The following is a 17244-nucleotide window of genomic DNA, read 5'->3' as shown; positions in this document are numbered from 1 at the left end:
TTAGCATTGCTTTAGCTGAATCAGTATAGCATATATTTGAAAAGTGTTTTTTCATATATTACCTCACTCTGAGAAGTAGATAAGTAATCTCAAATCTGTTGACAGGGAAAATAGGTGAATTGGCACATTGAAGGGTACATAATTTGTTAATTGTGGCATTGATTTTTTCACATGGTTTCTGACTCCCAGAATCCTGAGAGCTCTGCATGTTCAGGCTGTTTAATTCCTGATGTCACATGAGAGTCAGGAAAGGAAGTTGAGGGAGTGGAGAAATTTGGAGAAATTTGGAAACTGCTCTTAAGGAATGATGTATCTTTGGAACCACCTCTCCGCTTTTTGCTTTTCACTTTTTTTTTTTTTTTTTTTTTTGAGACGAAGTCTCACTCTGTTGCCCAGGCTGGAGTGCAGTGGCACTATCTCGGCTCACTGCAACCTCTGCCTCCCGGGTTCAAGTGATTCTCCTGCCTCAGCCTCACGAGTAGCTGGGATTACAGGTGCCTGCCACCATGCCCGACTAATTTTTGTATTTTTAGTAAAGACGGGGTTTCACCGTGTTGGCCAGACTGTTCTTGAACTCCTGACCTCAAGTGATCTGCCCACCTCGGCCTCCCAAAGTGTTGGAATTACAGGCTTGAGCCACTGCGTCCAGCCTCCACCTGTCTGCTTTTCTAAGTTGGGAAGTTGTTGATGGGTTTGCGTAGGTGAAGGTTAGTCCCCATCTCTCTGAAACTATGGGTTGTCTATGAGGTGGACAGAAGTGCTTTTCTAATATTTAAAGTACTTAACAGTAATAATTAGGCTGGGCATGGTGGTTCAGGCCTATAATTGCAGCACTTTGGGAGGCCAAGGCAGGAGGATCACTTGAAGCTGGGAGATGGAGACCAGCGTGGGCAATAAAGTGAGACCTCATCTCTACAAAAAAAAGGAAGGGAAAATAGCTGGGTGGCCTGTAGTCCCAGCCACTCAGGAAGCTGAGGTGGGAAGGATCGCCTGAGCCCAAGAATTCAAGTTGTAGTAACCCGTGATCGTGCCACTGCATTCCATCCTGGGTGACAGAGTGAGACCCTGTCTCGAAAGAAAGAAAAAACAATAATTCTGGTATTTCACTAGAGGGTTGGAAGACAGCTGGAATCTAATCTGCTTGAAGCAGTCAAACTTGATGGCATTTTGTGAGGCATTATGCTGGTTGTTCACCCCTTGTTATAGGTTTTCTTCACGTATTTACTTCACATAGTCTACTAATTTCCATGTTGCTGATCTGCTTCTGGGTAACCTTTAATAAAGTCGTTTTTTGTTGTTGTTGTTGTTGTTTTGTCCACCTAGTCTAAGACTCTAATAAAATCTTTATCTACATGATGGATGTTCAAATAGATGGTCATTATGTTGCCTCCAGGATGTGTGGTGTCTGAAAGAGGGAGTTTCTGTAGAGTTTGTGCCCTGAAATCTCCTTACACTGTTTTCTAAATGTCTAACTATATAAGAAATATGCTGTTTGGCCCTTGAGATGGAGGTCCAATAGGAACACAGGATGCTAGGAACTTGGTCCTTGGAGGAGAGAACTGGAGCTGGTCCCTGGCCATATGTGGGAGTAACAGCACATTATCTCAAAAGAATAAAACTCATTGGAGTTGTATTTTGTGGTGGACGTTTTGCCTTAGTCTCTAACTGCAGCTGAATACATCTGTGTCTGTGTCTGAAGAATTTGATCTTTGACTATATTTTCAGATAATCTTCAGAGTAGTATAAGCATCAAGGCATTTAAATGATTTCACCCCCAAAGGAAGAGTCCTCCAGATTTTAGCCATATCTGATTTTTAGTGCCTCTCAGAATTCAGTGATTTAAAACTGCTTTGGAGTCCTAACAGTTTTGTGGTGTCATTGAGATACCATAGAAAGATAGAAGGTATTTTTTTTTTAATTGTTTATTTATCAAGATAAACTATTTGCTAGCCCACATATTCATGTTTCATAGTTCAGGAACACAGGTTAGTGACAAAACTAATAGGAAATTCAACCCAAAGAAACTGTTGGGTATTTTTTTTTTTTGAGACAGAGTCTCGCTCTGTCATCCAGGCTGGATCTTGGCTCACTGTAACCTCCGCCTCCTGGGTTCAAGCGATTCTCCTGTCTCAGCCTCCCAGAGTAGCTGGGATTACAGACATGCGCCACCACACCTGCTATATTTGTATTTTTAGTAGAGATGAGGTTTCACCATGTTGGTCAGACTGATCTCAAACTCCTGACCTCAGGTGATCTGCCTGCCTCACCTCCCAAAGTGTTGGGATTACAGGCATGAGCCATTACGCCTGGCCAAAGAAACTCCTTATATTCCAAAATTACTTTGCACTCTGAAAGATACTAGCTTTTCTCATCTAAAATTCTTTCATGAAGTCATAATTTCTGTAGAAATCTGGGTATGCCTTCTTTCTTGGTTCAGCCACAGCAAATTTACAGAGAACTACGGCTCCCAGGGATACAACGAATGCTCCACCAATATGAAACTGCAGACGTGCTGTGGTAGTTACTGTCCTTGATAGGTATGTCAGCCTCATTACCAGTGTTCTTCCTGGCTGATGGAGAAGTGGATGGCCAGCAGCTATTTCATAGTTGTATAATTCCTTACTCTGGAGAGTTTTCTTGTTTAAAGCTAGTAACCTTTTTTTTTTTTTTTTTTTTTTGAGATGGAGTCTTGTTCTGTCACCCCAGGCTGGAGTGTAGTGGTGCGATCTCAGCTCACTGCAACCTCCGCCTCCCAGGCTCAAGCGATTCTCCTGCTTCAGCCTGTCGAGTAGCTGGGACTGACTACAGGCGCCCGCCACCATGCCTGGCTAATTTTTTTGTACTTTTAGTAGAGACGGGGTTTCACTGTATTAGCCAGGATGGTCTTGATCTCCTGACCTCGTGATCCACCTGCCTCGGCCTCCCAAAGTGCTGGGATTGCAGGCGTAAGCCACTGCGCCTGGCCACTAGTAACCATTTTTGATAGGGGGTCCTAAATAAAGCCCCCAGATAATCTAAAAAGGTCAATGCTGTGACCAGAGCTTTGGCTTCACCTTTCCTAGATGTATGAAATTTTATTGCCATGTTTTCCCTTTTTTAATAATAGGACACATGTGAATATTGCTAATATAAGGTAGTAGATTTGTACCTAAGATGAACTCCATGTATAAAACCAGTGTTATAGATAATTGAAATTAGCGTGAGTGACAAGAGCTTTTATTTGTGTTCTGAAATGGAGAGAGAGCAGTTTTTTTATTTTTTATTTTTATTTTTGAGACAGGGACTCACTTTGTTACCCAGGCTGGAGTGTAGTGGCGCAATCTTGGCTCACTGCAACCTCCGCCTTCCAGGCTCAAGCAATCCTCCTGTCTCAGCCCCTCAAGTAGCTGGGACTATAGGCATGAGCCACCAAGCCTGGCTAATTTTTTTTTTGTAGAGACAGTATTTTGCCATGTTGCCCAGGCTGGTCTCAAACTCCTGAGCTCAGGCGATCCACACATCTCAGCCTCCCAAAGTGCTAAGATTACAGGTGTGAGCCACCCTGCCTAGCAGAGATAGTAGAGGTTTTTCAAAAGATAACATGGTGAGGAGTAATTCCCCAGTAGGGAGGTGTGTACACCATTCTCCCAGTAACCTTAGAGCTTGTTTACCTCTGCCTTAGTCCTGTCAACTTGTCCCCACTGTGCTTAACGTTTTCAGTTAAGCTACAGTAGGATAGTGGTGAAGAAAAGGAGTCAGAGTTTACCATTCATGCCAGAAACCTAATGTGTGAGACCAGGCTTTTGCATCTATCTTTCAGTTGTATGGAAGCTTCTCTCTTCAGCTTTGGTCTTCAGTGGGATTGGTGATAGGAAATAAGTCCAGGAGGCTCATCATTTCACATGTGAGCAGTTTAGACAGTTTAATTTTAAGTGCTCTGTGGTTTTGTGTTCCTTTTAGAACCATTTCTCCCATCCTTCTACATGTGTGCTTTCTAGATTTGACCATATTTTCATTCAGTTGTAAATGTGCTAGGTGAGACTTAGCTGATTCAGGGATGGCTCGCATGTACTATTTTGTCACAGCACAGGTAATCCAGTGGCTTCTTATTAAAGCATAATCATGAGCAGAGAATGTTTCAGCACCTTTGTTTCTCCTTTCTTTCTTTTTTCTTTTTTTTTTTTTTTTTTTTTTTTGAGATGGAGTTTTGCCCTTGTTGCCCAGGCGCTGGAGTGCAATGGCGTGATCTCGGCTCACCTAAACCTCTGCCTTCTGGGTTCAAGTGATTCTCCTGCCTCAGCCTCCCAAGTAGCGGGATTATAGGCACCCACCACCATGCCTGGCTAATTTTTTGTATTAGTAGAGACAGGGTTTCTCCATGTTGGTCAGACTGGTCTCGAACTCCTGACCTCAGGTGATCCACCCGCCTTGGCCTCCCAAAGTGCTAGGATTACAGGCATGAGCCACTGCGCCCGGCCCTTCTCCTTTCTTTTTGTGCATTTCATTTTGATTTCCCCTGTATCACTTTGAACGTCAGTTCTGAAAATTCTTCACATATCTCCTTTCCCCCACTTCTTAGTACATTTGACACAGCTGATGTCAAAAGGGTCTTTACTAAAAAATGTATTTAGGGAAGCACATATTTCTAATCTTTAGGAATCCAGTAAAAACAGGAAAGAGGTTCAGTGGACTCTAGATTCTCTCCTTGACCTAAATTAATTCTGTTCTTGCTGTTCGTTGATGGGCTGGCACATCTCAGGTCCCCTGCTAAGTTTCCTTTTTTCCTTGTTCCCTGTTTGTTCTTAGCCAGGTGGCCTCAGGATGCCATGGTTTCCTAGCTCCTGTGATAGGACCCAGGAATCTAAACAATCTTTCATCTCTTCTTTAGAGACAAATGGCAACATAGATTCCCTCTCTTTCTTCTCCCAGATTACTCTAGACATCTATACACATTTCTGGTTTCTGAGGGATGTGCCAGTCCCTAGTAGCTTGGAAGGGTAGGTTCCAAGTAGGGTTGACAGCCCTACTTACATGAAGAACACTCCCTATGTTTCCCTTCTCCTCACGGTACAGGAGGATTGTTCTCTCTCACCCTCATAACTATGCCTAATCTATATCAGTGTCTACAGTCTCATATACAAAGGGAAGAATGGGCTTGAATTTAAGAAATCATTGGATTCCCTTGGTTGTAAGATTTAGAGGACAAACGTGTTTTCATGTTGGTTTTCTGCTATAGTGTTTTTGTCTGTGATTCTTGAAGGTGTTTTGGTATCTTTTCCTGTCAAAGTCCATGTCAATGCTTTTTTATTTCTGAAATTAATTAGAAATTAGTTTTCATAAAATCCAGAGCTGTATAGCCCAAGTTTTATGTGTTGTTCTTTTCTGTTAGAGTGACTTATCAGTTTATTTTCTCTTCAGCTCTTTTCAGTTCAATTAGTTTTATTATTTTTCCTTTGGATTGTATCATACAGTAAAAAACAAATTAAAGACACATTTGCCAAAACCAAAAATACTGTTGCCAGAATTTTACTTAGCATTCCTGACTTACCAAGTTTAACTTTAATTACACAAATTTTATGAATTTTAAAAAGGGTATGATACTTTGTCATGGTACCTATAGTGCTTAAGTGGATATATTTAATTTTAGAAGAGGTAATAGAAATACTGGATTTATAAACTAATTTTTAATGAAATGTTGAGGAAATCTGCAAATATACCTGTGAAATGTGAAGGCACTAAAGGTGCTTCACTTTATTCTATAAAAACATTGCAAATGTGGCTGGGCATGGTGGCTCATGCTTGTAATCCCAGCACTTTGGGAGGCCGAGACAAGTGGATATCTTGAGCTCGGGAGTTCGAGACCAGCCTGGGCAACATGGTGAAACCCTGTCTCTACAAAAAAAAAAAAAAAAAAAAAGCCAGGCTTGGTGGCACACACCTGTGTTTTCAACTACTTGGAAGGCTGATGATATGGGAGGATCACTTGAGCCCAGGAGGTCGAGGCTGTAGTGATGTAGTGAACTGTGTTGTGCCACTGCAATCTAGTCTGGACAACAGTGTGAGACCCTGTCTCAAAAAAAAAAAAAAGATTGCATATCAAACCCAAGTGGTTAATCTGAGGTTGTAAAAATATGTTGGCCAAATAATTTGGAATTCTAACTGAACTTCTTAGAGTATATACCTGCTGATCTGCATTTTTAGTGTGTGTCTGTGCCTGCCCAACTAAAGAATCTGGTGACCAGGTATTGTCTTGCAATTGCTGTAGAGACAGTGCCTTCCTAGCTCTTAAAGTAGTCCTGACCTTGTTCGCCACTATATCTGATTGCAGTCTCTTTTTCCCTGCCAAGGTTTTTTATTCATTGTCACTTTCTAGGCTTGATGTGTTGTTGCATTAAAATAAACACACACAAAAAAAAACTCATATGATTTCTCCTAAATTTGGTTCAACAAGTTCTTTAGTCTGGTTCTTCTCCTTACTATCATTATTATTGTCATTGAGACAGCATCTTGCTATGTTGCCCAGACTGGTCTTGAACTCCTGGCCTCAAGCAGTCCTTCCACCTTGGCCTTCCAAAGTGTTAGGATGACAGGTGTGAGCCACCATACATGGCCTGATTCATCTTTTTTTTTTTTCCCCTGAGACAAGATCTGAATCTGTCACCCAGGCTGGAGTGCTGTGGCATGATTTCAGCTGATTGCAACCTCCACCTCCTGGGCTCAAGCCATCCTCCCACCTCAGTCTCCTGAGTAGCTGGGACTATAGGTGTACACCACCACGCCTGGCTAATTTTTGTAATTTTTTTTTTTTTGGTAAAAGTGAAGTTTTGCCATGTTGCCTATGCTGGTCTCAAACTCCTGGGCTCAAGTGATCCTCCAGCCTTGGCCACCCAAAGTGTTAGGATTACAGGCATGACTACCACAGCTGGCCTGATTAATCTTTTATAGTTGAGATTATTTATGTGTTTGCCTGATTTTTTTCCCCCTTTTTAATCTCTTTTGTATCATTGATAAAAACAGTCTAATTCTCCTCCTCATAGGCTGTCTTTTTCCTTCTGTATTTTGCTTTGATTTTGTCCTTGTTATTGTGGCTATTCTCATTTGGGTGCATTTAAACCTATTTTTCCTTCATATATCAAATCTTAAAAGAGTTAAAACACAATTTTATGTTCTTTTTATTTGCTGACTTCGAATTCTGTCATGTGGCCAACATATTTTGTTTTTCATAAAGCCACATGACCCGTTTGTTCTGGTTTTTGCTAGGTCTAGGTTAGAAATGTAAACTTTTTTGGTTTATAACCCTAATATTTTAAAACAAAAAGAACTTGTCCCTTTATAAACACTTTTTCATATGTTATATATTTACCCTACTATATACATCTGTTATGTATATCATAAACATACATATATTTATTCAGCCAGATTTATTGTGTAGTTACTATATGCCAGGTACTACTCAGGGCACTTAGGATACTCATATAACTGACATCATCATCATAAATAATAAACAGTAGACATTATCAGTAAGTAAAGTATGTAATATGCCAGAAGGGGATAAATGCCTTAATGAAGAAAAGAAAAAGAAGAGCCAATTAAAGGGGGTGGAGGGTGCAGGTGGTGGTGTATTTTAAACTAGGGAGGGTAGGATAGACCTTTCATTGAGAAAGAGACATTTTGATCAAAGACTTTTGAAGGAGGTGAGGGAGTTGGCCATGTGGTTATCTGGGGGAAGAATGTTTAGGCAGAGGGAATGACTAGTGCAAAGAAGCTAGGGAATATATATATGCCTGATGTGTTTGAGGAACATCATGAAGGCCAGTATGGCTGGAGTGGGATAATAAGCAGTGGGGAGACAAGGGTAGGAAGTGAAGGCAGAGAGAAAATGGGGGTGGGAAGGAATGCAGAGCTTGTGGACTTTTTATTTTTTGACAGTCTCATGGCAAAAAGTGAAATGGCGGCCAGGCATAGTGGCTCATGCCTGTAATCCCAGCACTTTGGGAGGCTGAGGCAGGCAGGTCATCTTGAGGTCAGAAGTTTCAGACCAGCCTGGCCAACATGACAAAACCCCGTCTCTAGTAAAAATACAAAAATAAAATTAGCTGGGCATGGTGGGGTGCGCTTGTAGTCCCCACCTACTTGGGAGGCTGAGGCATGGGAATTGCTTGAACCCAGGAGGTGGAGGTTGCAGTAAGCCAAGATCGCACCACTGCACTCCAGCCTGGGTGACGAAGTGAGACTCTGTCTCAAAAAAAAAAAAAAAGGCTAGGCGCAGTGGCTCACGCCTGTAATCCCCAGCACTTTGGGAGGTCTAGGCGGGCAGATCACCTGAGGTCGGGAGTTAAAGACCAGTCTGGCCAACATGAGAAACCCCGTCTCTACGGTAGGAGAATCACTTGAACCTGGGAAGTGGAGATTGAGGTGAGCCGAGATTGCACCATTGCCACTCCAGCCTGAGCAACAAGAGCGAAACTCACACACACACACACACACATGCAAAAGTGAAATGGTTCCTTGGGTTTTTTTTTTTTGAGATGGAGTCTTGCTCTGTTGCCCAGGCTGGAGTGCAGTGGCGCGATCTCGGCTCACTGCAAGCTCTGCCTCCCAGGTTCCACGCCATTCTCCTGCCTCAGCCTCCCGAGTAGCTGGGACTACAGGCGCCCGCCACCACACCCGTCTAATTTTTTTGTATTTTTAGTAGAGACGGGGTTTCACTGTGTTAGCCAGGATGGTCTCAATCTCCTGACCTTGTGATCCACCCGCTTTGGCTTCCCAAAGTGCTGGGATTACAGGCGTGAGGCACTGCACCCGGCCAACCCTGTCTTTAAAAAAAAAAAATTTTTTTAAGTTAGCCGGGCATGGTGAATATACTTGTAGTCCCAGCTATTTTGGAGGCTGAGGTGAAAGGATCCCTTGATCCCAGGAGTTAGAGGCTGCAGTGAGCCATGACCATATCATTGTACTCCAGCCTGGACGACAGACCCCCAACTCTAAAAAGGAAAACAACAACAAAAAATTACATTTCATTAACATGAGAAACTTCTTTTTACTTGAATGGAGACATAATTCCTTTTGGAATTCAATGGTATGTTCAAGGAGTTTGTTATTATAACCAGAAAGTCAACCTAACTATTGTAACTAATATTTTTGCAGTAAAAATTTCTTTCCATTTGTTGCAATTCACCAGTGAGAAAAAAATCAGAATCTCAGCAAGTTCTTTTCATACATAGCGTTCTTTGCATTTTACGCAATAATTATCTTAAAATATGTAACTAAAGTATTACAAAGCAAACAAAGGACAGAGTCTCTATTGTAGCTGAGAGGTGCATAAACTCATAGCAGAGCAATGGAACCCCATAACCTCTTGGGGAGCAGATACTTTGCAGTTGGCTACCTGAATAAGATTGGGGCTCTATTAGCAATGAAGTAGCAGAGAAAGACGTTATGCAGGCAACCAACATCATCATCATCTACGGCCTTCTCAGACAGTAGTTTTCACAGTAGCCTCTGTGGACACCAGACTTCAGGAGTAACCTCTGGTTGATAAAAAAAAAAGTCAGGGTTGGGCATGGTGGCTCATGCCTGTAATCCCAGCACTGTGGGAGGCTGAGGTGGGTGGATCATGAGGTCAAGAGATTGAGACCATCTTGGCCAACATGGTGAAACCCCGTCTCCACTAAAAATACAAAAATTAGCTGGGTGTGGTGGCATACACCTGTAATCCCAGTTACTCAGGAGGCTGAGGCTGAGGCACGAGAATCGCTTGAACCCTGGAGGCAGAGGTTGCAGTGAGCCGAGATCGCGCCACTGCACTCCAGCCTAGCGACAGTGAGACTCCATCTCAACAACAACAACAACAACAAAAAAAAAAGGAGTCAGAGCCGTTGCTATTTCCAGGGATGGGCACTAGGCGAGGCAAGCCCAAGCCCTTTACCTGCATCTGCAAATCCTGCAGGGTTAGGAGTGTGAGGAGACTTGGAGAAGTTAAGTGACTTATGAGGCTCCATCCACACCTTGTAAAGCAAGGCTTCACAGAGCTTGAGAGGGTTCTGGGGTACTTCCACTATTTCAGATTTCAGGGTTATTAAGAAAGTACCATCAAAACAGAGTTACAGATATGTGGTATATTTACTCTTAGGAGACTATTTCAAACACAAAAACAATGCCATGACTTCATGTTGACATCATATGGAAACAAATACCAAATGTCTAGATAGACTGAAGAGTGGACTCTGCCCTCAGTCCTGTGGAAGCTGCAGAAGTTGCCACAGATCTCTCAGAGTCAGGGGAAGGGCTATTTCAATTTTTTTTTTTTTCTTTTTTGAGGAGTCCCGCTCTGTCGCCCAGGCTGGAGTGCAGTGGCGCAATCTCGGCTCACTGAAACCTCTGCCTTCTGGGTTCAAGTGATTCTTGTGCCTCAGCTTCCCAAGTAGCTGAGATTACAGGCATGTGCCACCATGCCCAGCTACCTTTTTTTTTGTATTTTTAGAAGAGACGGGGTTTCGCCATGTTGGCCAGGCTGGTCTTGAACTCCTGACCTCAGGTGATCCGTCCGCCTCGGCCTCCCAAAGTGCTGGGATTATAGGCGTGAACCACTGCACCCGGCCTATTTCCTTGACTCTCCTCCTGCACCATTCTTCTGGGTCACCTGGCACTGTGACCCCTATCTTTTCCCAGCCACCCAATGACTCAGGCTAGAAAATTTAGCACTCTCCTTGTGTCCATAGTCAGAAGCATTCCCAGGGAGAAGCACAGCCAGAGATAGGCCTCCTTCAGCCTGACCGGGGCCAGGGCAGAAGCCAATCTACAGTACTGAACAGGATCCACAGCTGCAATGACCACCTCCAGAGACCCTGACCTGCCCTCCACAATCCAGCAACTCTATTTTTAAGTATTTACTACGTGGTGGAAACTGCCTTGGACTTTTGCTGTGGAAATAAGAGACAATGGTTTGGTGGTGATGACAGTGAGTTAATAGATGACAGCACAGTGGTATATTGATATGGTAGAGCTGGCATAGGGTACCTTAGGAGTCATAGATGTGTGCACTATACTCAGGTTTGGAGAGAATGGAGTCTAGGAATACTACCTGGGGCAGAGTTGCCTTGACCTGAAGGCAGTATTGCCTTGTCCCAGGTAGTATTCCTAGACTTCATTCAGGATAACTAGGCAAAAAAAAAAAAAAAAAAGAAGTGTATGTGCATTAAAATAGTGCAATCTGGGGACTGGGAGTACAGAATAATTGATTTTGGTGATAGCAGTGAAATAAAACATAGCTAGCTGCCTGGGCAGCTTTGGGTTAAGATTTTGCAGTTTTGCAGTAGTTTTTTCTTTCTTTTTGTCTTTTTTGAGACAGGGTCTTGCTCTGTCACCCAGGCTGGAGTGCAGTAGTGCCATCACAGCTCAGCAGTGGTATTTTGTACCCCATTTTGTCCATAATTACAAGATCCAGGAAAAACAACAACAACAAAAAACCCGATGGTTTGTCTCTTACATATGGGACCATATTCCTGCTCTACTAATACTTTTTCTTTTTTGGTCTTAATCTTTCTGATGTATTCTTGCTGACTACATTCCTAATTTAAAAATACACTCAGTGTTAAGAAATTTGCCAACTACTTTAAATATTTTGAGAGAAAATTGACATTATAAAGAGGGAGTTTGAGTACAAGGAGCTTTTCCTTGTCCCACTGGTTGGTATAGAGTCAGACAGAAAGGGAATGGTCATAAATTGACAACCATAGATTTAAAGTAGAAGAAATCTGAAGCCTGAATTCCTTTGGGAAAAGCAAAACCTTAATGATCCTATAGCAGGGGTCCCTGGGTACTGGTCCATGACCTGTTAGGAACTGGGCCTCACAGCAGGAGGTGAGTGGTAGGCGAGCAAGCAAGCAAAGCTTCATCTGTATTTACAGCTGCTCCCCTTGCTTGCATTACCGCCGGAGCTCTGCCTCCTGTCAGACCAGCGGTGGCATTAGATTCTCATAGGAGCATGAACCCTATTGTGAACTGCACATGTGAGGGATCTAGGTTGAGTGCTCCTTATGAGAAACTAATGCCTGATGATCTGTCACTGTCTTCCATCACCCCAAGATGGGACCGTCTAGTTGCAGGAAAACAATCTTAGAGCTCCCAAGGATTCTACATTATGGTGAGTTGTATAATTATTTTATTGTATATTACAATGTAGTAATAGAAATACAATGTACAATAAATGTACAGCCTCAATCATGCTGAAACCATCGCCCCCACACCCGTTCTGTGGAAAAGTTGTCTTCCATGAAACTGGTTCCTGCTGCCAAAAAATTTGGGGACCACTGTCCTACAGCTCAGCAATGAATGGCCTGCCTGGTCCTTGGCACCTTCAGTGGAGAATTTGGGAATCTCATGTGACCTAATTCCTCAGACAGAAACCCTTCCTCTGAGTGAAGGAGAGACCCTTACCAGTACTGGATATCCTAAGGAGTCTGAACAGAACAAATTCCCATTGCCTTCTGTTTTTTTCTGATCTCATCTTTGGGTGTGAAGTAAACCGGGATAGGTGCTTTCCTGATGGTTGTAATGTGCTGTAGCTCTAAAATAAAATCCTTTAGATAACTCAGAAGGGAGGTGGGAACTAGGAAAGGCAGAGAATGTGGGCTTCTGTGCACAAGATAGATGGAAGAGGCCAAGGTTGCATCATTCAGCAAAAATTTAACCAACTGCCTTTCATGTGCCACGTAGTATTGTACGTGCTAGGGATACACATAGTAGGGAACAAAACAAGAGTCCCTGCTCTCACTCATGGAGCTCCAGGGAAATTGTGACTCACCCAGTGTTTTGATTCCTTCTTCCTCTCTTCTTTTCTGTAGGACAGAATAATAAGCTGAATAGAATCTGACCATTGGCTTTCACCTGGCCAGGACCTTCTATGTAGCTCTCCTTTTGTGGCCCATGTGCTGCATCCTCTGCCCTCAGTGTGCAACTGGCCCCCAACGCAATGTGTGTTTGTCAAACCATGGAAGTGGGGCAGTATGGCAAGAATGCAAGTCGGGCTGGAGACCGGGGAGTCCTCCTGGAGCCCTTCATCCACCAAGTAGGCGGACACAGCAGCATGATGCGTTACGACGATCACACTGTGTGCAAGCCCCTCATCTCCCGGGAACAGCGCTTTTACGAGTCCCTCCCTCCCGAAATGAAGGAGTTCACCCCTGAATACAAAGGTCAGTCACTGGCCAGTTTAATGAAAGCAGCAGCCTTGGGCTTATAGACCCCTTGCCACAGTTTTTTCTTGGTTTGTTTGCCATGATATATCATTGTAGGTCTTTTTTCTCAAAGCACGAAGTCACTTTGTTAGATAAAATTAGAGGCTGAAAGCATCAGCAAGGTCTTTAGATCTTGAAAATTGAATTTATTAATAGGTAAAGCTGAGAAAAAGTCATAGCATTAAGTTCCATTGGTGGAAAAGAGCATGCTGTTGTCAGTGAATTTTCCCATTTGCTGTGACACTAGTCTGGGAGAGAAGAGGGAACATTTCTCTCGTCCCGGAGGCGGAATGGATACTTCCAGGTTAAAGCGGTTAGATAGCTGGCAGTGGTGCTGTGTGTATCCTGTGTCTATATGTGCTGGGGCAAAGAATTGTTGGTAAGAAATGCAGGGACTTTCTGGGGCCTGGAAGTCCTGATATTTGAAGGAAAAATAATTTATTTTAAAATATAAGTCAACTTTATAGAAAAGAACCTCATGAATATTAATTATACCAGAATTAACTAACTTTATTTTAAAATCTGATCTTTGTCAGTGTTTATAAATTTTTATGATTGCTCATTGTGTCTAAGTTTTTTTTTTACATTCTGCTTTATAACTTTAAGTTGTATGATTTCAGTCAGGTTAACACTGTCCTTTACTTAGGAGAGTTTCAATTTAGAAAAACCAGTGCTATAGAATTGACTTTTTGTTTCCTTAACTTTTTAAAAAAAATTTTGGTAAAATGTACATAACATAACATTCACCATTTTAAAGTGTATAATTTAGTGGCATTAACACATTCACAATGTTGTATAGCCACTGTCCATTTCCTGAATTTTTCATCATCTGAAACAAACTCGGTACCTATTAAATAATAACTCCCCATTCTTCCATCATCTGATCCCCTGGTAACCTCTTGTTTACTTTCTGTCTCTACAGATTTGCCTATTGTAGATATTTCATAAAAGTGAAATCATTACAATTTTTGACCTTTTGTGTCTGGCTTGGTTCATTTAGCTTAATGTTTACAAGGTTCGTTCATGTCATAGTGTGTATTAAAACTCCATTCTTGGCCGGGCACAGTGGCTCACATCTGTAATCCTAGCACTTTTTTTTTTTTTTTGAGAGTTTCTCTCTGTTGCCAGGCTAGAGTGCAGTGGCGCGATCTTGGTTTACTGCAACCTCCAACTCCCGGGTTCAAGCGAAGCGATTCTCCTGCCTCAGCCTCCCAAGTAGCTGGGATTACAGACATGTGCCACCACGCCCAGCTATTTTTTGTATTTTTAGTAGAGACAGGGTTTCACCATGTTGGCCAGGATGGCCTTGATCTCCTGACCTTGTGATCCGCCTGCCTCGGCCTCCCAAAGTGCTAGGATTACAAGCGTGAGCCACCGTGCCTGGCCCACTTCATTCTTTTTTATGGCTGAATAATATTTAATTGTAAGTGTATACCACATTTTGTTTATTCATTCATCTGTTGATGGACACCTGGGTTGTTTCCACCTTTTGGCTATTGCGAATAATGCTGCTGTGAACATTGTCTTACAAATGTCCATATGAGTCACTGCTTTTAATTCTTTTGGGTATATGCCTAGGGGTGGAATTGTCAGATCATGTGGAAGTTCTTTGTTTACCTTTCGGAGGAACTGCCAAACTGTTTCCCACAGTGGCTGCACCACTTTGCCTTCTTACCAGCAATGTACAAGGGTCCCTATTTCTCCACATCCTTACCAACACTCCTTTTCTTTTCTTTTTGTAGCCATCCTAGTGGATGTGTGTGGTATCTGTGGCTTTGACTTGCTTTTTCCTAATGTCTAACGAATGATGCAGAGGATTTTTTTGTTATTGTCTGTTGGTATACCTTCTTAAAGAAATGTCTATTCAAGTCCTTTGACCATTTTGAATTGGGTTGTTTCTGTCTTTTTTTTTTTTTTTTTTTGAGACAGAGTCTTGCTCTGTCGCCCAGGCTGGAGTGCAGTGGCACGATCTCGGCTCACTGCAATCTCCACCTCCGTGTTCAAGCGATTCTTCTGCCTCAGCCTCCCAAGTAGCTGGGATTACAGGCATGTGCCACCACGCCTAACTAAATTTTGTATTTTTAGTAGAGATGGGGTTTCACCATGTTGGGCAAGCTGCTTTCGAACTCCTGACTTTAGGTGATTTGCCTGCCTTGGCCTCCCAAAATGCTGGGATTACAGTCATGTGCCACCATGCCTGGCTAATTTTTGTATTTTTAGTAGAGACGGGGTTTTGCCATATTGGCCAGGCTGGTCTCAAACTCAACTCAGGTGACCTACCTGCCTTGGCCTCCCAAAGTGTTGGGATTATAGGTGTGAGCCACCATGACTGGCCTGGGTTGTTTCTTAATTGGCAGAAAGAGGTGAACCAGTTTTTAGGACATCTCAAGCTTTTTAAATTTCATTTTTATTTTAATTAACCTCAGGGATTTTACTTATGCTTGGAATGTTCTTTCCAGTACCCTTATCCACACCTGCTCCTCCAACCTTTAGTTTATTAGGTCTCCCCAGACACTTCTTCCCTGATCATCCTATATTATATTCTGCTCTGGAAACCATATTTTCAGTGATAGAACCTTACTTAGTTTCTTCATAGCACTTATCACAATCTGTATTTTTGTCTATGTGTTTGTTTTTCACATTAGTATGGAAGCTCCTTGAAGGTATGGACTTTTTTTTTTGTCTTTTACACTTATGAGTTCAGGGCCTGGCATCTAGTAGATGGTCAGTAAATACTTGATAAATGAATGAGGCAAAGCTTATTTGCATAAATGTACAGAAGCCTTGAACTTCACATTTAGTACTGCAAGCACTAACAGTTGATGATTGTAGCTGGTCATACTAAATAAATGAAAATTTGTTTTTAAACCTGCCAAGATATGAAATATTATTGACACTTTTTCTTAGCTTAATTGAGCTTAAACACCTGTGCTGATAGCAGCAATTAGATGTGTGTATGTGTGTGGGCTAGTAATCATACATGTATTTCTTAGCTCCATGTGCTGAAAGGGCCTAAAAGCAGTGATACTTCAGTAGCAATCAGTATATCTAGTAACCAAATCCTGAGTTTTCTAAATACCATTCTTACAATAAAAAGAAACAGAGCTCCTTGGTGAAATGGTTGGTTCCTGAGTTCGGGCAGGAAAATTATAAGACAAGCCTAGAACATCTTATGGTGACAGATAGTAAAGAAGTGGTCAAAAATCATGTCAGAAGTACGAAGAGCTAACTTTAAAGGAATTGAAGGGCCCAATCTAGAAGAATTTAAATGACAAAATATCCACAAGTCTATACTGATAAATACATGGATATGAAGGGACAACTCTTCCTTATAGAATTCTAATTTCTTTTTTTTTTTTTTTTTTTTTTTTTTTGAGACGGAGTCTCGCTCTGTTGTCCAGGTTGGAGTGCAGTGGCGCAGTCTCGCCTCACTGCAAGCTCTGCCCCCCGGGTTCACGCCATTCTTCTGCCTCAGCCTCCCGAGTAGCTGGGACTACAGGCTCCCGCCACCAAGCCTGGCTAATCTTTTGTATTTTTAGTAGAGACAGGGTTTCACCATGTTAGCCAGGATGGTCTCAATCTCCTGACCTTGTGATCCACCTGCCTCGGCCTCCCAAAGTGCTGGGATTACAGGAGTGAGCCACCGTGCCCGGCCAGAATTCTGATTTATTTTGATTAATAAATATAGAAGGAATGATGGGAATAGAAGTCACCATTAGGCAGACAACACAGTAATACCATTCAGCACACACCATTAGGCATTACACACACCATTAGACATTACAACACAGTAATAATTGTGGCGCATTGTGCAGTGGTGCAATCATACCTCACTGCAGCCTCGAAACCATGGCTCCGCCGGGCATGGTGGCTCATGCCTATAATCCTAGCACTTTGGGAGGCCGAGGCAGGCGGATCACCTGAGGTCAGGAGTTCGAGACCAGCCTCGCCAACATGGTGAAACCCTGTCTCTACTAAAAATACAAAACTTAGTTGGGTGTGCTGGCAGGTGCCTATAATCCCAGTT

General features: G+C 42.6%; 1 protein-coding gene and 1 pseudogene across 5 annotated transcripts in view; one reads left to right on the top strand and one right to left on the bottom strand.

Moving 5' to 3' along the window:
* Window positions 1-17244, top strand: part of IP6K1 (inositol hexakisphosphate kinase 1) — a 62249-nt gene that overhangs the window by 25550 nt on the left and 19455 nt on the right. For 3 of the 5 annotated variants that reach the window (NM_153273.4, XM_047449323.1, NM_001242829.2), the window contains one exon: window positions 12825-13175. The exons of 1 other annotated variant lie outside the window; for it this stretch is intronic. In NM_153273.4, coding sequence (NP_695005.1) covers window positions 12953-13175 — 223 coding nt within the window. In that variant the 5' untranslated portion in view covers window positions 12825-12952. Of the gene's footprint in view, window positions 1-11163; window positions 12125-12824; window positions 13176-17244 lie in introns of those variants that run through there. One more of the 5 variants, XM_047449324.1, reaches the window with a different exon arrangement.
* COX6CP14 (cytochrome c oxidase subunit 6C pseudogene 14) lies at window positions 2337-2510 on the bottom strand (annotated as a pseudogene).

This window comes from Homo sapiens, chromosome 3, assembly GCF_000001405.40.
Source record: "Homo sapiens chromosome 3, GRCh38.p14 Primary Assembly".
In the NCBI taxonomy this organism is placed as follows: domain Eukaryota; kingdom Metazoa; phylum Chordata; class Mammalia; order Primates; family Hominidae; genus Homo; species Homo sapiens.
This window is presented reverse-complemented; position numbering and strand designations above follow the sequence as displayed.